General features: G+C 47.5%; 1 protein-coding gene across 18 annotated transcripts in view, besides 1 other annotated feature; it reads right to left on the minus strand.

Annotated features, from left to right (window-relative positions):
- SYN3 (synapsin III) overlaps positions 1–22,914 on the minus strand; it is a 550,562-nt gene that overhangs the window by 87,315 nt on the left and 440,333 nt on the right. For all 18 annotated transcript variants that reach the window (NM_001369909.1, NM_001369907.1, NM_001135774.2 and 15 more), the window contains one exon: positions 1,540–1,602. In NM_001369909.1, the coding sequence (NP_001356838.1) occupies positions 1,540–1,602 (63 nt within the window). The remainder of the gene's footprint in view (positions 1–1,539; positions 1,603–22,914) is intronic.
- Positions 21,001–21,500: an enhancer, noted in NCBI's record as "H3K4me1 hESC enhancer chr22:33012121-33012620 (GRCh37/hg19 assembly coordinates)". NCBI's record gives its function as "activates a minimal SCP1, AML or CMV promoter by ChIP-STARR-seq in naive H9 embryonic stem cells {active_cell/tissue: H9 hESC(naive)}" and the evidence as "EXISTENCE:reporter gene assay evidence [ECO:0000049][PMID:30033119]".

Raw genomic sequence — 22,914 nt, forward strand, 5'->3', positions numbered from 1 at the left:
GTGTTAAACTATCTCTACATCCCATTGTTGAGGCCAAGTACATTGATCCAAGCAAGGTTCCATGGGATTAGATACAGAGGTGCTGGACAAAAAGAGGGTCTTTATCCTTTGGGGATGGTGAGCTTAGGGACCAGGTTGGGTGGCTCACAGCCATTTTGACTGTCTGAAGAAAATGCCAAGTAGAGATGAACAGAGCCAAGAGATAAAGAGGGAGATCAAGCTCTATTTCATTTGAACTCCTGGATCCAGCTCTGCTGATCTTGGTAGATTCCTACCAAGAACTATCTCAGACATCCTAATATCTTGAACATTTTGACACTTGCAACTGAAGGAGTCTGACCAATATAGTTTGTCAGGATGTTATTTGTGACTGTGTGAGATATATTATATTATTGACTTTTGCAGTTAACTGACTCTGGGGGCTTCTTCCATGAAGCCAGATGTGTTTGCCATTTTCTAGGTGTCAGCAGCCCTACAGTGATTGATATGGTTTGCATTTGGGTCCCCACCCAAATCTCATGTCAAACTGTAATCCCCCATGTTGGAAGAGGGGCCTGGTGGGAGGTGATTGGATCATGGGGGCAGATTTTCTCCTTGCTGTTCTTGTAATAGTGAGTGAGTTCTCACGAGATCTGGTTGTTTAAAAGTGTGTAGCACTTTGGCCAGGTGTGGTGGCTCACGCCTATAATCCCAACACTGTGGGAGGCCATGACGGGTGGATCACTTGAGGTCAGGAGTTTGAGACCAGCCTGGCCAACATGGTGAAACCCAGTCTTTACTAAAAATACAAAAATTAGCCAGGTATTATGGCACACACCTGCAGTCCCACCTACTTGGGAGGCTGAGGCATGATAATCACTTTAACCTGGGAGGTGGAGGCTGTAGTGAGCCGAGATCACGCTACTGCACACCAGCCTGGGTGACAGAGCGAGGCTCTGTCTCAAAAACAAAATAAAGTGTGTAGCACCTCCCCTTTCTCTCTCTTCCTCCTGCTCCAGGCATGTAAGACAGGCCTGCTTCCCTTTCGCCTTCTGACACAGTTGAAAGTTTCCTGAGGCCTCCCCAGCCATGCTTCCCATACAGCCTGTGGAGCCACAGCCATTAAACCTCTTTTCTTTAAAATTACCCAGTTCCAGGTATTTCTTTAGAGCAGCGTGAGAATGGACTAATAAAGAGATGAGTAAGACATGGGCTTACAACATGGCTGTGGAGATGATGACAGCAACCCCTTACAAAATAATTACGCTCAATAAAATGCTCTACATCTCTTTCTCTTCAGTCGCAATCATAGAGAATGATTAGTTAGCAATTCCAGGTAGGATTTGGCAAGGATGGACTGAACTGGAGAGATGTTCTGTGCACCAGGAGCTCTGAGGAAGGTGGGCTGGGAGGGGAAGGAGATGTACTATGGATTCTTTCTAACACTCTGTTCTGGGTGCCTGTGCTAAGGGGTTGATGGGTGACAGAGGGAGAGAGGAACAGGTAGTCTGGGGAATCTCTGGGTGTGTCCACTGTGAGTGGAAGGGCTGTTTCTCATACCTTTCCCATTCCAGCGTGGGCATGTCCCAGCTTGACTACCACCGGGAAGTGTGGGGCTGTGACCTGAAAGAGACAAGAAGAAGTCACTCTTAACATCTCAGAGCATTGCCACCAAGGCTCTGGGTGCTGCTTGTTCCATAGAAAGATCCATTCATTTCATATGGTCGGGAATCCCCACAAGAATGCTTCGACAGATGGTCACCCAGCCATGGCCCAAACACCCTCAATGTCAGTGCTTTTGGCTTCCAAAGGAAGCTCTGAGCTCTTAAGACCAGCTTGTCTGGGGCACCCATCAATCTGCAGAGACAATGGAGTGGGACAAACCAACTGGTTTCCAATCTTGGCTTTACCGCTGTGCAACTTCAGGCAAGTTATTGCATTGACCCATGCCTCAGTTTCTTCATTTGTCAAATGAAGACGATAATAATAGTATCCCACGGGGTTGCTGTGAGGATTGAGTTATTACATGTGTGGCACTCAGTGAATGGAAGCTTAATTATTCCTGGCATACTCCTGTCTTACATTATTCTCTTTTTTTTTTTTTTTTTTTTTTTTTTTTTGGGACAAGTCTTGCTCTTGTTGCCCAGGCTGGAGTGCAATGGCACGATCTCAGCTCACTGCAACCTTTGCCTCCAGGGTTCAAGTGATTCTCCTGCCTCAGCCTCCCAAGTAGCTGGGATTACAGATGCCTGCCACCATGCCTGGCTAATTTTTGTATTTCTAGTAGAGATGGGGTTTCACCATGTTGGCCAGGCTGGTCTTGAACTCCTGACCTCAGGGGATCCGCCTGCCTCTGCCTCCTGAAGTGCTGGGGTTACAGGTGTGAGCCACCGCGCCTGGCCCATTATTCTTTCAAATAACACTTCAACCACCTGAAAACTTTCACTACTTCCCTTAAGCCTCCCCAGGCCACCATACGAGGCTGCTTAATAATAGCGGCCATGTCTGCCTCTGGCACAAGCGTTTATCGACTGTACCACATAGGCTCCGTGCTGAGCGACTGCTCTGCGTCACCTCCCTTAGGAAGCCACACTTGAGGACAGCAGCCTTGCTGGGTTGGTTCCCTGCTGCACCCCCAGCTCCTAGAACACGGCCTGATCCAGGGAAGGTGCTCGATACTGAATCTGTCCTTCAATCAGGCCCCTCAGCAAGACCTAGGAGGCATGCATGCTTCTCCCTCTGACACAAGTGAGACAGTTGGGCTGGAAAGACTGTATACTTCCCCACACACACCATCACTTAACCAGGGAGCTAGGAAGCCAGGACTCAGGCCTGAGCTTTGCTTTCCCCCTTTCATGTTGTTCATGTGTTTTTTGAGGGTGTTTTCTTGATTTCTAGAAGAACATTTTGCATTGCGTGAGGGCAAAGGTTATCCCTCCTAGTTATGTACTAATAACATAACTTCCTTCCATGTGGACCATTCCCAACTGGGGGCCATCCTGACCCCTTCTCCTCGGCTGTCCATGGACAGCACTGTCTGTCCTCTTACACTGTGGGCACCGAAGGAACGCAGCCTTGCCCTCTTGATGTCTCTTGCCTGGTCTGTCCTGTAGTAGCTGCTGAGCCTCTGCAGAAGGCCGCCTGTGCATCACAAAGCCATTCTGTGGCCCTCATCTCATTTTACCCCCACACTGGCCTTAGAAGGCAACCAGGGAAAGTATTTTAATCACCATTTTACAGATAAGAAAATCGAGACTCAAGTGAGTTGCTGGGAAGGGGTGGAGCTGGGACTTGAACTTGGGTCTGTCAGACTCCCAGCTTGAGTTGAACAGTTCCCTTTTAGTCTAGCACAAGAGTGGCCTGCAGTAGACTTTAAATAATATTTTTTTTGAGACAGAGTCTCACTCTTTCGCTCAGGCTGAAGTGCAGTGGCACGATCTTGGCCCACTGTAATCTCTGCCTCCTGGGTTCAAGCGATTCTCCTGCCTCAGCCTCCCAAATAGCAGGAATTACAGGCATGTGCCACCATGCCTGGCTAATTTTTGTATTTTTAGTAGAGACGGGGTTTCGCTATGTTGGTCAGGCTGATTTTGAACTCCTGACCTCAGGTGATCCGCCTGCCTCAGCCTCCCAAAGTGCTAGGATTCCAGCCCCGGAAACCACTGCGCCCAGCCATAGTTTTTTTTTTCCTTGATTTCAGGCTAAAATTTACCATACCCTGGTGTCTATGGTGAATACATACATGTTAAAAAAACAGCAACATTTGATTTTGATTCCAAAAGCAATAAGTACTCACTATAAAAACTTTGCAAAATATGATAAGATTAATTGAAAGAACCTCATCAGTTACCTTATTGATTGATATATATATCAATTACCTTAAGTATAAAGACGTCAATAAAAATCATCCTCAGACTGCTAACAGTTTTGGTTTATTATCTGCTGCTCTTTTAAAAAAAATCTGTATTGAGGTTTTCCCTTGATTTGTTCTGTTTTTACAAAATTGGGAGTATAGTGGATATCCAGTCTTGGTTCTTGCTCTTTCCACTTAATATTATGTAATGAGAATACTCCTGGTGGTTATTACTTGTTAACTTAATAATAATTATGAAATATTTCACATATGGAAAAAGCCTTAAAGAGCAATATTACAGACATCAGCTTGCTTAAGAAATAAAACACTGCTTAGACAGCTGAAGCCCCTGATGTACTTTTTTTTTTTTTTTGAGGCAGAGTCTCGCTTTGTCGCTCAGGCTGGAGTGCAGTGGTGCGATCTCGGCTCAGTGCAAGCTCCGCCTCCCGGGTTCACACCATTCTCCTGCCTCAGCCTCCCGAGTAGCTGGGACTACAGGTGCCCGCCACCATGCCCGGCTAATTTTTTGTATTTTTAGTACAGATGGGGTTTCACTGTGTTAGCCAGGATGGTCTCGATCTCCTGACCTCGTGATCCGCCCGCCTCAGCCTCCCAAAGTGCTGGGATTACAGGTGTGAGCCACTGCGCCGGAAGTCAAGTTTATGTGTCTTGACTCTCCATCAAGCACTCTCTCCATCAAGGCACACTTTTCTGGGAATCATATGCATATCTGGGGTGTAATAAATGCTCCCCACCCCCCATGATAGTGATCAATAAAATAATATCAAATCAATTGCGTGGGCACGACTGAATGAGAACTATGTGGCTAGTTATGTGTCTTGTGCTGGTTGGGGCACACCAAAGGTTGAGACAAGATTTCTGCCCTCAGAGGATTTATTATCTGCTTGGACCCATGGGCTGTACAATGAAAGAGCAGAGTGAGGCAGCATGGCAGGAAGCTGTGGGGTACGTCGCGGTCATGTGCAAGTCTCCAGAGCAGAGCCCAACATTTTTGGCACCAGGGACCAGTTTTGTGGAAGAGAATTTTTACACGAACTAGAGGGGGATGAGGGGATGGTTTTAGGATGATTCCAGAGCATTGCATTTATTGTGCATTTTATTTCTATTATTATTACCTTGTAATACATGATGAAATAATTACACAACTCACCATAATGTAGGATTAGTGGGAGCCCTGAGCTTGTTTTCTTGCAACTAGACAGTCCCATCTGGGGGTGATGGGAGACAGTGACAGATCATCAGGCATTAGATTTACATAACGAGAGGGCAACCTACATTCCTCGAATGCGCAATTCACGACAGGGTTAGTACTCCTATGAGAATCTAATGCTGCCTCTGATCTGACAGGAGATGGGGCTCAGGCGGTCGTGCGAGTGATGCAGAGTGGCTGTAAATACAGATGAAGCCTCACTCACTTACCCACGGCTCACCTTCTGCTGTGCAGCTCTGTTTCTAACAGGCCATGGACCTGTACTGGTCTGTGGCCCAGAGGTGGGGGACCCCTGCTCCAGAGGAAATGAGGCTCTGACCAGGGTTCTGAAGGATGAGTAGGTTGTGGGTGGATGGATAGAAGGCACAGAGTTCCCCCAAGGGTGAATGGTGCAGACCACCACGGTCTTCCCGTGGGGCATGTTTAGATTCTTCATGAGCTCTAATAAACAAAGACCCATAGGAAGGAAGGATTTATTTTATGCAACTTAATATGATTTTTTTTTTTTGAGACAGAGTCTTGCTCTGTCTGCCAGGCTGGAGTGCAGTGGCACAATCTCGGCTCACTGCAACCTCTGTCTCCTGGGCTCAAGCAATTCTCCTGCCTCAGACTTCCGAGTAGCTGGTATTACAGGCTGTGCCACCATGCCTGGCTAATTTTTGTATTTTCAGTAGAGACCGGGTTTCACTATGTTGGCCAGGCTGGTCCCGAACTCCTGACCTCAGGTAATCCACCCACCTCGGCCTGCCAAAGTTCTGGGATAACAGGCGTGAGCCACCCCTCCCGGCCACTTAATATGATTTGATCTGCAATAAATCTATTTTGCAGGTGATTGCTGAACAGAATTGTATATTTGAACGGCATGTCCTTCTCCAGGGTTCTTAAATGAAATTGGAGGAATGTGTTCATTGCTAGAAATTGTGGAGTAGGTGCTGTATCTGTATTTAGAGAACACAGAAAGTCAATCTAGCAAAATCTGAGAATGTTTAAGTAAGATATTTCACAGAAAACATTTCAGAATTCATCCAAAGCAATGGATTTTCCTGATACTAGGGGAAATTTTCCTTTGCCTTTTTTTTTCTTTCTTTTTTTTTTTCTGAGATGGAGTCTTGCTCTGTCGCCCAGGCTGGAGTGCAGTGGTGCGATCTCAGCTCACTGCAAGCTCTGCCTCCTGGGTTCACGCCATTCTCCTGCCTCAGCCTCCGGAGTAGCTGGGACTACAGGCGCCCGCCACCACGCCCGGCTAATATTTTGTATTTTTAGTAGAGACGGGGTTTCACCGTGTTAGCCAGAATGGTCTGGATCTCCTGACCTCGTGATCCACCCGCCTTGGCCTCCCAAAGTGCTGGGATTACAGGCGTGAGCCACTGCGCCCAGCCTCCTTTGCCATTTTTTACTTTGACTTGTGGGAAACAGCAATCTTTTTAGAACCACGTATGGGCTGGCAAGACTCCGGGCTAGTGCTGGGGACACAGAAGAGGTAATTTGGGGCCAGATTATTGGGGGCCTTTGAAACCAAAGAGGGGAGTTCAGGTTGCTTGGATGGACAGTGGGGAAGCAGGATAGTTCTGGAACCGGGGAGCGACCTGCCAGCTGTGGGCAGGATGGATTTGTGCTAGTGGTGACTGAAGGGCCAGGGGCCAGTTTGGAATTCATTCTAAAGACAGTAAATGCCACTGGTTGGGCCTGGACTGGGAAGAAATGGTAGAGGGAGTGGGAGCACTCCCAGAGCTTTTCTTTTCTTTTCTTTTTTTTTTTTTGTGACACTTCTTTATTGAAATAATAGTATTAAAATGACCAGAGAAATTCAAGACAAAAATTGTCTACAATCTCATTGTCTAACCAAATCAGTGTTTGCATTGGTCCACATTACCTTATAATTTTTATATGTCCAATAAAACCCCCAGGATACTTTACAACAATATTAGAGGTAGAATTTTGCATCTATCTTCTCACTTAATATTATACCATAAGTGTTTTCTTATTTTTGCTACAGATGTTTTTATTTTCTTCTATCTTTCCCCACTCCCCTTCTCCAGACCAGGTAACTAATCTCACCTCCCCAGTGTGTCTGGGGTGTATTCCTGCCCATCCCTCACCACGTGCAATCTTTGCAAACACGTATGCACGGATATGGCTGAGGCTGATGTTTGTATTTTTGAAAATAGCTCTTATCTCTTAACGTCACACTGTATACACCCCTCCTCCCATGTCAATAAAGATAGTTCTATCCCGATAGTTTTTTGTTTTGTTTTGTTTTGTTTGTTTGTTTGTTTGTTTTTGGAGACAGAGTCTTGCTCTGTTGCCAGGCTGGAGTGTAGTGACACGATCTCAGCTCACTGCAACCTCCAACTCCCTGGTTCAAGCGATTCTCCTGCCTCAGCCTCCTGAGTAGCTGGGATTACAGGCACGAGCCACCATGCCCAGCTAATTTTTGTATTTTTAGTAGAGACGGGGTTTCACCATGTTGGCCAGGATGGTCTTCATCTCCTGACCTTGTGATCCGCTTGCCTCGGCCTCCCAAAGTGCTGAGATTACAGGCGTCAGCTACCGCGCCCAGCCAATCCTGATAGTTTTAATAATAGCTGCACCGTCTACACATGTACACGTGCACTGGTTTCCTATTAATAGACATTTGTGTTATTCATTCTCTCTCTGCTACTATAAACGAGACTTCATTAAACATCTTTGTACACATGTCCTTATGAGCTAGTGTTTTAATTCCTCCAGGCCAGTCCAGGAGATTTTCAAAGGGAGAACCAGCAGAATTTGGAGACATTCTTTTTTTTTTTTTTGAGATGGAGTCTCGCTCTGTCGCCCAGGCTTCTATTTCTAAAGTCAGTTGTTAGAGCTCAAGAAATGAAACCGGATGCCATGGCATTGCATACGGGGTGAATCAGCCACCATATTACCTCCAGGCTAAAAGTGACTGTATTTATTGTCATGTAAGAAGGGCCAGGAACGGGACCAGGCACTTTATGGATGGTAGCATCCTTTCCCTCCCCCATGTTATAGATAACAAAACACAGCGCTGGCCGGGCGCGGTGGCTCATGCCTGTAATCCCAGCACTTTGGCAGGCCAAGGCGGGCGGATCACAAGGTCAGGAGATGGAGACCATCCTGGCTAACATGGTGAAATCCCATCTCTACTAAAAATACAAAAAAAAAAAAAAATAGCCAGGTATGGTGGCGGGCACCTGTAGTCCCAGCTACTAGGGAGGCTGAGGCAGGGGAATGGCGTCAATCCAGGAGGTGGAGCTTTCAGTGAGCCGAGATCGTGCCACTGCACTCCAGCCTGGGCGACAGAGCGAGACTCCGAGACTCCGTCTCAAAAAAAAAGAAAAAAAAAAAAAAGAAAGAAAGAAAACACAGCCCTTTGCCCGAAGCCAGACAGTGAAGACGGTGCTGCTGCCCTGTGGCCACCCCACTTCCCAAGCTGTTCAAATGGGTGTCGAAGGCCATTCCCACTTCTACCCCTTTGCAACATGCCAGCCCCTCCCCAAACACAGACAGGTCACAGAGGACAAAAAACATCTTGCCGGCTATTTTCTCTCTTCCCTTCCCAACAATAGCTTTATTTAGTTCCCCTGGGGATGCCGAGGTCTGCATCAGCCTCTCACAGGCTCCCTGTCCCGCTCACATGCCCTGGGCACTCCAGAGTGCAGCACTGCCCAGTGGCGTAAGAGGCCTGACATCCTGTCAGAAGGGGCAGACCGATTTTGGAAAACAGAGATCCCCACCCAGATAAGGGCTTTATTCAAAAGAACCCAAAGAAACCAAAATACTCGGGGTAGCCCAGTGCCTATGCTGGGTGTTCCCTTGGGAGGATTAGAGATGGGAGTGGAAGCCCAGGTCAGCCTAGTCACAGCCGCATCCTCAATCCACAGAGTCAGAGAAACAGGACTTTAGAGTGGCCCGGACAGCCTCCCACCAAAGGAGGCAACTCCTCCTATGTTCTTGACTCTGAAGATTTAAATAGTCAGAGTCTGGTCCTACGTAAGCGATGGGAAAATCAAGATCGAGAAGAATCTGGAGGAAGAAATCAAGGACTGAAGTCTGGGAAGACTTCCAGGAGGAGCTGGCCTCCATTTCCTGCCTCCAAGGCTCTGCCTGATCCAGCTCTCCCCCATGTCTTCTGTTTCATCTCATGTGTCTCCCTCCTCCTCCTCAGCCCAACCCCTAACTCCCAGTTACAGCCTACTGACCTTTCAGTTCTTTACTGAATGTGCCGCACTCCCTCCAGCCACGGTCTTTGCGTAAGCTGTTCCCTGTTTCCCTGAGATACCCTCCCTCACACTCTTTTCTAGGCCAATCCCGTCTCATACTCATGTCTCCGCTGAGATACCCTCCCTCACACTCTTTTCTAGGCCAGTCCCGTCTCATACTCATGTCTCCGCTGAAATTCTGTCCCTGAAAAGCCCTCCCGGGCCACTGGTCTCCCGTAGGCACTTCCTGTTATCTTCTCTATCTCACTCTGAGAGTTCTCTTTTCCTAGCTCTAGACACCATTTAGAATTATACATTCATGACTGGGCGCGGTGGCTCACGCCTGTAATCCCAGCACTTTGGGAGGCTGAGGCGGGCAGATGACGAGGTCAGGAGATCGAGACCATCCTGGCTAACACGGTGAAACCCACTCTCTACTAAAAATGCAAAAAAATTAGCCGGGCGTGGTGGCGGGTGCCTGTAGTCCCAGCTACTCGGGAGGCTGAGGCGGGAGAATGGTGTGAACCCGGGAGGTGGAGCTTGCAGTGAGCCGAGATGGCGCCACTGCACACCAGCCTGGGCGATAGAGCGAGACTCCATCTCAGAAAAAAAAAAAAAAAAAAAGAATTATACATTCATCTTTTTTTTAACTGTCTGTTTCTCCACTCCCCATAGGTGGTCTGAGGACAGGAACTTTGCTTGTTTTGTTTACCACTGCGTCTCTAGACTCTCCACAAGGCCCGGCAGACAGTAAGCGCGTTTGTTGAATGCGTATTAGACGAAGTCTCCCACAACAAGCGGGAGAAGTCATATGCGAACAGGCAGAGTCAGGAGGAATGTGGTGATTCGAGTGGAAGGTTTGTTGGGGATGCAGCCAGAATTAGGGCGGACAGATCAGGAATGGCAAGCTTGGGAAGGGCCTGGCACCAGAGGTAGGAGTTTGAACTGTGTTTCATGGCTACCAGGCAGCCGTCGAGGGTTTGGATGCAGTGGGGTAGACACCTGTAGAGCAGGCTTTAGGAAGAGTTCTCTGGAGGCTGTGGAAACAACAGCTCATATCTCTTGAGCCCTTAGTGTGTACCAGGCATGGGGCTAAGCACTTTACATATATCGCCCCACGTAAGCCTCTTGATACTTCTTCTGTGAGGTAGCTCCTATCTTTATTCCATTTTACATACATGGAAATAAAGGCAAAGAGAGGTGAAGTTTTTGGCCTAAGATCACTCAGCAAGAAAGTGGAAGAGCTAGGATTCAGCCAGAGCCACCCGCCCCTGCTCCCTCCTGCATGGTGCCGCCTCTGGACAACTATGATCATCCAGTGCTTCCCCTGCACCCAGAACTGGAGCACGTGGGTGGAGGCCAGCAGACCTGTTAGGACAAGACTGGCTGCAGTCATCACTGGGCAGGGCAGGGCAAGGTGGCAGCAGCATGGACATGGGTAGAAGGATGCCAGTTCACTTCTGGCTCCCACATTTACAGTTGTGAGCCCTTGGGTAAGTCACCGACCACTCTGTGACTCAGTTTCCTCATGCCCCAAATAGGAAGATCACTTGAATCCCACCAGATTGATGGGAGGAATGGACATTATAATAGATTTTGGTCACTGAGGAGTTGGTCACTGGATGGTTGTTGCTAGTGGAGAGGCACAAATGAACTTAGAGGATGCCCAGGGCCTGGCTGGCCTGGAGTAGGACGGCAGTCTGCCCTTGCTCTCATCTCCTCCACATCTATGATCTCAGGGGCACGGCAGCAAGTGGGGGCCATGGGATGTCAAAGGCTGATCTGTTATTCCTTGGAAGCAGGAAGGGAAGGGAAGGGGAAGGAAGCCTGAGGCCCAGGTTGTGAGCAGGGAGCGCGTTACGAAGCCTTTGACAGAAATGGGGCAGCCCGGAAATGGGGTTTGTGGTAGACATTTAAAACAGACTCATTCAACAGAAAGCACAGGAGCACTCCCACGGCTGCTTCATAAAGCTTAACCTTGCTGTGTAGCATCTGACAGACTCTCCTTGGAATTTTAAGCACGGCACATAGAGACACTCCTGTCAGGAGGAGGAGCACAGACAAGATGACCTTTGCAACTCTTCTGTAATTCTGCCATGTTGTGACAAATCTACCAAATGCCATTTAGAGGAGTGAAATGTGGAAACGCAAATATGTTAAGACAAAACTTCACGGCTTACGGGGCTCTGTGTGGTCTGACCCCTGCCTTCTGCTCCAAACCCATCTTACCCACACTCCCCCATCAGCCTCTCTGGCCCAGGCTCAGTGGCTTTCTCCCCAGCCTGGATACTAGTATACTAGTGCTGTCCCCTCTGGCCACAGGGGCTTTGCATATGCTGTTTTTATTGCCTGCAGCGAAGTCCCTCTCTGCTCCTCTTCATTCAGCCAACTCTTTATTTTTTATTTTTTATTTTTTTAATTTTTAAATAAGTATTTATTTAAAAAATAATTATTTATTTATTTATTTTTATTATACTTTAAGTTTTAGGGTACATGTGCACAACGTGCAGGTTTGTTACATATGTATACATGTGCCATGTTGGTGTGCTGCACCCATTAACTCGTCATTTAACATTAGGTATATCTCCTAATGCTGTCCCTCCCCGCCTCCCCCCACCCCACAACAGGCCCCTATGTGTGATGTTCCCCTTCCTGTGTCCATGTCTGCATGCTTCAGAAGTCAGCTCCAACATCACCTCCCCAAGCAGCTGGCTTGCATCTCCCTGCCTATGTCACAGTCTGCTCATCTGTTCTTCCTTCTTAGCCATTTCAAATGGATCTGTGTGATTGTTGAGGAATGTCTGACTCCAAGAGAAGCGGTGGGGCAGTGTCTGTGGCTGCTCAACATTGAACCCTCAGGCCTCTCCTGAATGACAGACCTGCCTCCTGATCCCGGCCGCCAGGTGCTGCTGCAGAACCTGCAACTCAACATTTCCAAACAACTGCATGAATTCCCATCAAAAATGTTCTCTTCTCTTCTTGTACCCCAACCTCAGTCAACGCTGCCACCACCCGCCCAGGTGCCCAAGATAGAGATCCTGCCTGCCTTCTTCATCCTTATACCTGTCCTGACCCTGGTCAGGCACACAGGAGGGCCCAGGAGATGTTTGCAGAGTGAGGTCTGTGGTCTCCCTGCCCAGCCTCGAGCTCTCTGGCCTTCTAATCCCACCTCTGAACTCCCTGCATCACCTCCTTCCACCTTAAGTCTGTCTTGGGAAAATACCGGTAGCATATTCAGAAAAATGAAACGAAATCTGCCCTACCAAAAAACAAATATTCCATTATCTTACATTTCCTGTTTCCCTGAGAAACGGAATAGTCAAAAATAAACAAACTGATAGGATGGCAATATTTGTCTGCTTTTCTTGTTCTTGCCTGTGTGATGTTTATAGCATAGAACAGGTTCAGTCTCCCATGAGGATCCTCCTGGGTGACACTCACCATGCAGACAACATCTCCAGCAAACTGTGGCTCTGGGGAGGGTCTGAATGATCCTAAATGACGGGGAAGCGAAGACCACCCTGAGCCACATGGATACACGCAGCTGCGGGATCACAGACCCTCTGGGCTTGTGCTATAATTTACTTTTTTTGACAGTCTTGTTCCAGCTGCATCTGTAGATGGGGAAAAGCACCCCTTTCCAAGTCAGATGACCCTTTTAAAAAAAGTATTTATTCTTGAGATGGAGTCTCGCTCTGTCTGTCACCCAGGCTGGAGTGCAGTGGTGTGATCTCGGCTCACTGCAACCTCCGCCTCCTGGGTTCAAGCGATTCCCCCACCTCAGCCTCCTGAGTAGCTGGGATTACAGGCACGTGCCACCACGCCCAGCTAATTTTTTTGTATTTTTAGTAGAGGTGGGGTTTTGCCATGTTGGCCAGAGTGGTCTCGAACTCCTGACGTCAAATGATCCGCCCGCTTCGGCTTCCCAAAGTGTTGGGATTACAGGTGTGAGCCACCATGCCCAGCCCATGTCAGATGATCCTTAATATGGGAATTACTGTTCTTCTTAGTTACTTCAGAAAATAGTTGAATAACAATTACTTCAGTGTCCACATTTCTTTGCTTCAGTTGATGTTCACACATTTAATGTCTTAAGATTAAAGATAAATGTAAACTTTTGTTTAAAAGTACTGTTGTCTTGGTATTGCATAGAAGAAATACTGTTTGCTTGGGGCTGTAGGCAAAGGCATTTCATCTGGTTCAGAGAAACTATTTGTGCAGTGCCATGAAATTAGCTGGAAGAGAGAAGATAGGCTTTGAAGCCAGGCAGACTTGCGTTTAAATATCATTAGCATCAGTTCCTATGGGGATATCCTTGGCAAGTTTCTTAGCCTTTCCAGTCTCAGCTGCTTTACCTATAAATGGGAATAAGCACACCCAAAATCGACGTTGTTGTGAAGATTTGAGTTTTCATGTAAAATACATGTTATAGGTATCTGGATCCTAGCCAGAAACTCTTTGGGGATAATTTAAACTGATACGCAGTTAAAATCAGTACAACTCCCCCTCCTTCAAATTAGTACTTGATACAGTGATAGCCATTGCTCTTTTTTTCTTCTTCTTTTTTTTAAAGTTTTCCTTTTTGTACTATTTATTGTAAAAATATCTGCTTTGAATTTATTTTTAAAGTTATTAAATTGGGCCAGGCCTGGTGGCTCACACCTGTAATCCCAGCACTTTGGGAGGCCGAGGCGGGTGGATCACGAGGTCAGGAGATCGAGACCATCCTGGCTAACATGGTGAAACCCCGTCTCTACTAAAAATACAAAAAATTAGCTGGACGTGGTTGCAGGTGCCTGTAGTCCCAGTTACTCGGGAGGCTGAGGGAGGAGAATGGCGTGAATCCGGGAGGCGGAGCTTTCGGTGAGCGGAGATGGAGCCACTACTCCAGCCTGGGCGACAGAGTGAGACTCTGTCTCAATAAATGAATAAATAAATAAATAAAATAAAATAAAGTTATCATTACATTGAATAATGAATTTGTCTGATATTCCTTATATAAATAATGATTCTATGTATTTATTTACCTGTGCAGAAATATACTTAAACTCTAGTGATGACATCCTGCCTGGTGTTTTTTTTTTTTTTTTAAGAGACAGGGTCTTTCTCTGTTGCCCAGGCTGGAGTACAGTGGCGTGGTCGTAGCTCACTGTAATCTCAAACTCCTGTACTCAAGTAATCCTTCTGCCTCAGCCTCTCCAGTAACTGGGACTACAAGCGTGTGCCACCATGCCCAGCTAATTAAAAAAAAATAAATAAAAGTGTTTTTGGAGGAGACAGGGTCTCGCTTTGTTGCCCAGGCTGGACTCAAACTCCTAGCCTAAAGCAACCCTCCCACCTCAGCCTCTCAAAGTACTGGGATTACAGGTGTGAGCCACTGCACTTGACCTCTGCCTGGTTTTTATCCTGTAAATCTTGCATAACCTTTTAATGTAATTCAGTGAAATCTGACCCACTATAGCTGCAGAGATGGTGCCCGAATTTTTAAACTGTTTACAGCTGTTATTTTACAACTTTATTGAGATACAATTCACATACCATAAAATTCACCCTTTTAGAAATGTGAAGGAAACTAGTCATAAAAGAATGTACAATTCAGACCAGGTGTGGTGGCTCACGCCTGTAATCCCAGCACTTTGGGAGGCCGAGGCAGGCAGATGACAAGGTCAGGAGCTTGAGACCAGCCTGGGCAATATGGTGAAACCCCGTCTCTACTAAAAATACAAAAATTAGCTGGGTGTGGTGGTGGGTGCCTGTAATCTCAGCTACTCGGGAGGCTGAGGCAGGAGAATCGCTTGAACCCGGGAGGCAGAGGTTGCAGTGAGCCAAGATTGCACCGCTGCACTCCAGCCTGGGCAACAGATCAAGATTCTGTCCCCCTGCCCCCCCCAAAAAAAGAAATGTACAGTTCAGTGCTTGTAGGTTATTCACAGAGTTGTGCAGCCATCAACACTACCTATGTTTAGAACGTTTTTATCACTCAAAAAGAAACTCGGTACATAGTACCAGTCCTTCCCCATTTCCCTGGAGCCCCTTCCAGCCTCTGATGACCAATGCTCTACTTTCTGTCTCTACAGATTTCCCTATTCTGGACATTTCAGACACATGGACTCAAACAATATGTGGCCTTTTGTGACTAGTTTCCTTCACTTTGTATGTGTGTTTTTGTTTTGTTTTGTTTTGTTTTGTTTTGTTTTGAGACAACGTTTTGCTCTTGTTGCCCAGGCTGAAGTGCAATCACGCAATCTTGGCTCACCGCAACCTCCCCCTCCAGATGTCAAGCAATTCTCCTGCCTCAGCCTCCCAAGTAGGTGGGATTACAGGCGCATGCCACCACGCCTGGCTAATTTTGTATTTTTAGTAGAGACGGGTTTTCTCCATGTTGGTCAGGCTGGTCTCGAACTCTCGATCTCAGGTGATACAACCACATCAGCCTCCCAAAGTGCTGGGATTATAGGCATGAGCCACTGCGTCCAGCCACTTTGTTTTGAAGGTTCATCCATGTTGTAACATTTATCAGTGCTTCATTCTTTTTATTGCCACACAGTATTCTGTTGTATGGATGGTGTCTGACGTTTAATTATATTTTGGAATGACCTGGATATGTATTTCCAGTGATTGCAGACCATGAAGACAAATGAATGTCTAGGAAATCTCAAGAATATGGGTAATACTTTGGCAACGCCCTGGATCAGAAGTGATTTCTATACCTAACTGGGCAGCTCATGAATTTTTAACATTTGGGAAGAAGGAGGGTTTTCACAAGTGAACCAACACTAGCTTGCAGGGTCTTGCATCCTGTGTGAAACCTTTTCCGTCTCATCCACTGTTGTATCTTTGGCCATTTGAGAGCAGAGGGCTTCAGCTAGAGTTTTTTTTTTGTTTTTTTTTTTTTTTTTTTTTGTGGGGGGGATGGAGTCTCGCCCTGTTGCCCAGGCTGGAGTGCAATGGCACCATCTCGGCTCACTGCAACCTCTGCCTCCCAGATTCAGATGATTCTCCTGCCTCAGTCCCCCGAGTAGCTGGGATTACAGTCACGCACCACCATGCCTGGCTAATTTTTGTACTTTTAGTAGAGGTGGGGATTCACTATGTTGGCCAGGCTGGTCTCGAACTCCTGACCTCGTGATCTGCCCGCCTCGGCCTCCCAAAGTGCTGCGATTACAGGCTTGAGCCACCGCACCCAGCTGAGCTAGATCTTTTGTACAATTATTGGGGTGAGCAAGATCTCTGCTTCTGGCTTATTCTTACTTTGTCATCCCATGAGCAAGGTGATAAAGAGAAGGGCTAAGAAGGAAGAATGTTCAGGATGCTGTGACGTGATAAGAAACATGCATTTAGTCTGTGCTTCCAGTTCCTGAGACAGAGCTCCTAAAAGCCTTGTAATTTCCTGAGTGACAGGGGTGCTGGGAGCATCTTTTGTTCTAATGAGGCCACTCTTGGTGGGCTCCTGGATAGCTTCAGGATGGGGGCTGGTCACCAGATTGAGGCTTGAATCTTTCAGTCCCACCCTTCATCCTCTGGGAAGGAGAGATGGGATAGAGATTGAACTAATAATTCTTCATGCCTATGTGATGAGGCTTCCATAAAAATCCCTCAACTACAGAACTGGAGAGCTTCCGGGTTGCTGAAAACCTCCGTGTGCTAGGAGGGTGGTGTGCCCCAACTCCATGGTGATAGAAGCTCCTGTCCTTGGGACCCTTCTGGATTTTGCCCTATGTTCCTCTTCATCTGACTGTTCTTTATATCCTTTCTCACATCTCTTATAATAAACCAATAAATATAAGTAAAGTGTCTCCTGAATTATGTGAGCAGTTATAGCAAATTATCAAATATGAGCAGGGACTTATGCGAACTCCAACTCCAACTCCAACCAGTCAGACAAAAGTGTGGGTACCATGGGCACCCAAATTTGCAACTGGCTTCTGAAGTGGGGGACAGTCTTGTGGGACTGAGCCCTTAACCGGTAGGATCTATGCTAACTCCAGATAGTTAGTGTCAGAATTGAATTCAATTGCAGGACACTCAGTTGGTATCCACAGAGAACTGGATAATCACTTGGTATGGAAAACCCACATATTTAGTGTCAGAAGTGTTGCGAGTAGAAAAATAGTTTCGCTTTAGGGGCTAAAGAAAAAAGTATAGAGAAATACTGGAGGCCACGCATGGTGGCTCACGCCTGAAATCCCAACATTTTGGGAGGTCAAGGCAGGAGGATCGCTTAAGGCCAAAAGTTAAAGACCAGCCAAGGCAACATAGTAAGACCTTGTCTCTATAAAAGAAAAAAAAATTAGCCAGGCATGGTGGCACATGCCTGTAGTCCCAGCCACTTGGGAGGCTGAGGTGGGATGATCACTTGAGCCCAGGAATTGGAGGCTGCAGTGAGCAGCTGCACCACTGAACTCCAGCCTGGGTGACAAAGTGAGACCCTGTGTCCTAAATAAATAAATAAATAAATAAATGATATGGTTTGGCTCTGTGTCCTCACCCAAATCTCATGTTGAATTATATTTCCCAATGTTGGGAGGAGGGACCTGGTGGCAGGTGATCGGATCATGGGGGCAGATTTCTCCCTTGCTGTTCTTGCGATAGTAAGGGAGTTCTCACGAGAACTGATGGTTTAAAAGTGTGTGGCACTTCCTCTTCTCTCTCTCCTGCTGCCATGTGCAAATGTGCCTGCTTCCCCTTCACCCTCCTACCATGATTGTAAGTTTCCTGAGGCCTCCCCAGCCATGCCTCCTGTACAGCCTGTGGAACTGTGACTCAATTAAGCCTCCTTTTTTTTTAATAAATTAAAAAATTTTAATTAATTTTTTAAATAAAGTACCCAGTCTCAGGTAGTTCTTTATAACAATGTGAGAATGAATTAATATAATACAGTAAATAAATAACAAATAAATAAATATGAATAAATAAATATTGGTACAGGGTACCAGCAGCAGGGTAGGAGAGAGAATTATCTCTAGCCCTCCCTCCTCCTTGCAAGGCCATTGCCTCCTCCCTTCTGAAAATGACCTTCATTTTTTCAAGAGCTCTTATGCCATGGCTAACTTTGAAGCCATTCAGAGGGGAAGCTTTGAGACCTGGAGTTAATCCTGCCAACAAGGAAAGCTAAAGTTGGGTTTGCCCTGATATATTTATTTCCACGTTTATTTGAGTTCCGTGAGGGCAAGGATAGCATTCATTTTGTTCATTGGTTGCCCAACATGGAGTAGGTCCTCTGTAAGGATTCGTTGATGGGATTCATTGAATGAATGTAGGCACACAGATTGCCGAGAGCTCTGTAAACGTCAGGTGCTGTTGTTGTTACCATTATCATTATTACGTATTGACTGAACTACTTTTAGAGTATCAAAAACTCCCCTGTATCAAACCCTCTGCCATTCCAGGTGACTGGTGCTCTCTTGGTGTCTTTGTTGTTTTTCAGCCCTGCCTAGGGTGCACCATGCTTTCTTTAGCTTCTCCTTCACCCTTCCTTCCACCTACGGAAGAGGCTGCAAAACACAGTGAGCACTTAAAACTACAGTCTTTGAAGCCAGACCACCTGCGCTTGAATCTCAGCCCTACCACTGCTGAGCTGTGTGTCCTTGGGCAAGTTGCTTCACTTCTCTGTGCTTCAAGTTCTGCATTTGTGAATAGGGCTAAAAGTAGGATGCTCCACAGAGGTTGTCTCAGGGTTTAAATGAATTAACCGGCACAAAGCACTCAGCTGGGCATACAGGGAGTGCTGGCTGTTGGTATTATTGTTGTTAACCCAACTGCATTCCTGCAACTGCTGTTCTGTCTCACTCCATTGCTCTCAGCTTTCCAAAGTGACATCTGACAGGAGGAATCTGGGCTTCCGTGGTAGAGGCTGGCAGGGGTTTAATGGGCTACCGGTGTGCCATGTATCTGCAGCCGATGGATGTGTGTGGGTAACAGGGAAGGCTGCCCTGAGATACTGACTCTGAGCCCAAAGAGAGAGATGGACAAGGGTCACTCCAGCTCCTTCCTGGGCCTGGGGTCAGGCAGCTCTGTATGGACACAGTGGAGGGATTTGATGGTCCCTTGAGGGTTATTGCAGCTGCCAAGACCCCCAGTTTTCTTCATTACACTATATTGGGGTCTCCCCTTGAGTGGACAGGGGGATGAACCCTGTCTGACCAGTGGTGGGGAGGTGGGGACTCACAGGTCACCCAGAGCAGCAGAGCTCCTTCATCACACAAAGGAGGAAACTGAGGCCTGGGAAGCAGAGACTGTGGGCAGGTCCCATTTCTAGTCATCATCCTTCAATCTCCACTTCATTCTGCATTTGTAGCTATTATTAATGATATACAAAAGGCCGAAGGCATTACCTCAACTTTATAAATAAGGAAACTGAGGTTCAAGCTTGTCAAATGAAGCTGTGAAACCCAAGCCTTAAAACTCAAGAGCGGGGCCCCCTCCTCGGAATCCAGAAGTAGTTTTGTTCCATCCCCAGTCTTCTGCACTGGAAAAAAAACTTTATGAAGCACATACTGTGCTGGCCCCATGGAAACAGCCCCTGACTCCAAGGGACCTTTTATTCTGCAAATTTCAGACAAATGTTCCAAAAAAAAAAAAATACTGCCAATGGGGAAGAATAATTGGAAAGTAAAAAATTACCCCCACCGTGGTTGGGAGCCGACAGTGGTGACACTCTGCTAAGTGCTGATGTGCGTTTAACTCCTTTGATCCTCGCAATGACTCTTTGAAAGCTACAGATGGGAGGCCGGGTGCGAGTGGCTCATGCCTGTAATCCCAGCCATGGGAAGAATCCCAGACTTTGGGATCCACCGCTGAGGTGGGTGGATCACCTGAGGTCAGGAGTTCGAAACCAGCCTGGCCAACATGGTGAAAGCCGGTCTCTACTAAAAATACAAAAATTAGCTGGGCATGGTGGCAGGCGCCTGTAATCCCAGCTACTTGGGAGACTGAGGCATGAGAATCCCTTAAACCAGGAGGCGGAGGTTGCAGTGAGCTGAGGTTGTGTCACTGCACTCCGGCCTGGGCGTCAGAGCAAGACTTCATCTAAAAAAAAAAAAAAAAAAAGAAAAAAAGAAAGAAAACTACAGATGGAGAAATGGAGTCAGGGAGGGAACAACAGGGGCACAGGGTCGCAGTAAGTGGCAGGGCTCGGCTCCATCCAGCTCTGCCACATTCTGGAGGAGGTGGGAAAAGTCACAAGGTGGGAACGCCACTGCTCTCAGTTTAGGGAGTGGGCTTTGAGGGATAGCACGCTCTAATAAGGGAATCATACTTGTTCTAAGAGGCTGGCCATGAAGCAGTTTTAAACCCACCCTAGTGTGTGAAACATCACAGCAGTGCTCAGAGAGAATAACACAGGCCGCTTTTTCCCACCTGTCTGCAGGGAGTAGAGATTTGGGAAGAGGAGGGCTGTTTTGGGGCTCGTTCACAGCACGGCTGGGCCAGAGGAGGTCTTCCTGGGAGAAAGGGCATCCAGGTACGACAGGGACAGCTTCTCAGCTGCAAAGTGGAGGGAATGCAATGGGGGCGGAGTCTCCCTAACTTCTGTGAGTGAACGTGTGGGAATGGATTGGCTGAAAGCCAAGCTGCAAGATCCTCCCTAGGTCACAACTGGCCTGGCAGACGGAGCCTTCCTAGACACCTGAAGTTCCCAGGGAATGCAGGATGCCAGGAGTTCCCTGCAAGCTGCGAGGAGAGAGGGGCATTCCCCTGGACCCAGCCAGGAGCCGGAGTGACAGCACTGAGTTTCCGTGTAGAAGCCCCCAGGGAAGGGTGCAGAGTTCGCAGGGCCTGCTCTCCTGCATGGGGGCAGGAGGTGGGGGGCAGGAGGTGAGGGGCAGCAGGAGCCTCGAGGTGGCGAGCTGGTCCATGGTCCTTTACTGCAGGCTCAGTGGCCCAGGACCAGCCAGGAAACTTCCAGGGTCTCTGACAGAGGGGAAAACGACCAGGGCCCAAACACGACTAGGGCCTTATGCTAAGGACGGACATGTCTCTGGCTGAGGGGCCCCTTTGAGGGAGGAGTCATTGCTGACACCTGGTGATGAAGGTCACAATTGTTCAGTGTCTCCTTGTGGCAGTCGGGCCACAGTAGCCGCACAGACACAGGGCACTGAATCCACACGAGAGGCCTGTCATAGTGCTGAGTATAATAGCATCCCTAGTTCACAAACAAGACCACTGAGACTCAATTCAATAGCTTGTCCAGGCAAGGCTGAAGCCAGAATCCATGCTTGGGGACCAGATCGCCTCTCTGGGGGACACAGAAAGGACCCAGACCCTACCCTCGAAGGGTTCCCAGGCTGGTGGGGGCAGCAGATCTGTAAGCAAATGATTTCAACTCAGAAATATCAACATTCAGGAGAATTACGAAGAAAAAATGCTATAGAAGCAAAGAAGAGTGAGTGATGACCTGTGGAGGACAGGAGGTTGTTGGAAGAGGTATCATGGACAGTGCATAGGGGAAATTTGCACTGGGCTTTGCTGGTCATGCAGGAGTGTGCCCAACAGAGGAAAGGACGTTCCAGGCAGAAGTGGCCACAAAGGACACAAGGCCCAAAGGTGTGAAAGTGGTTGGAGGATTCAGGAAACAGGGCCAACCACAGGGATGGAAGGTCAATGGAAGGCGCTGCGGGAGGGAAGGGCTGGCCAAGGCTTCACGTTTAAGAAGGGCCTCAAATAGAGATTCCTCAATGGTCTCTCCAAATGAGGGCAGACATACAATCACTACGCCGTGTGTGTATGGATGTGGGTGTGTGTTAAAAACATTGGCTTGTTAAACGTGCACATTAAAGCTGTACCACAAATTCAGTTATTCTGCCCCCAACAAACTTGGAGCCTCAACAAAAAAAGAAGGACCCTCCTCATCTGTCAGAAATACATGCTGAAGTATTTTCAGATGAAAGGACATGGTGTCTTGGATTGGCTTTAAAATAATCCAGTGTGGGGTTTGGAGCGGGGATGGGTGGGGACGTGGAGGTGATGAGATTGGGCACGTCCTGGAACTGGGCAATGGGAATACGGAGGCGCCTCACATCACTGACTCTGCATTTGCTTACATTTGAACATTTCCATGACACATCTTTTTTTTTCTTTTTTTTTTTTTAAAGAGAGAGAGCCCCTTGTTCTGAGTCATCCCGTGGAGCTCAGGATATTCAGTATAGGGAGAGAGAAGGATGAATGATGGGGAAGCGGGGTGGGACCCAGGGCTGAAAGGTAGATTTGGAGCCAAATTGTAAAAAGCCTCGTAAACTATTCTGAGAAGTTTGGACTTAATCCTGCAAATAGTGGGAAGCCCAGTAAAGAATTTTTAGTAGGGGAATGACACCATTAGATTCTCATTTAAGAAAGAACTCTTCTCTGGCTGGTGCCTGGAAGATGGAAGGGGTGTGTGTGAGGGAGGCAGGGTTAGGGAGAGGAGGGGTTGGGGTCAGGGAGAGGACCCTGCCCGAGGCTTGAGGAGAGCTTGTCAGCTGCGAGTCTAGGTGGGCGACCTGCCTTCTCCTCTATGCTGTTTCTGGAGCAAGACCTCTTCTATCTGCCTTAGTAGTAGGCACTCTATTGTGATTACTTATCACAATAAGTAATTCCTTATTGCAATACATCAATAAGGATCACTTAGTGACTCTCTCTCTGGCTAGACTAGGTGTAGCCACATCACGCCT

Source organism: Homo sapiens, chromosome 22 (genome assembly GCF_000001405.40).
Source record: "Homo sapiens chromosome 22, GRCh38.p14 Primary Assembly".
NCBI classification, from domain to species: Eukaryota; Metazoa; Chordata; class Mammalia; order Primates; family Hominidae; genus Homo; species Homo sapiens.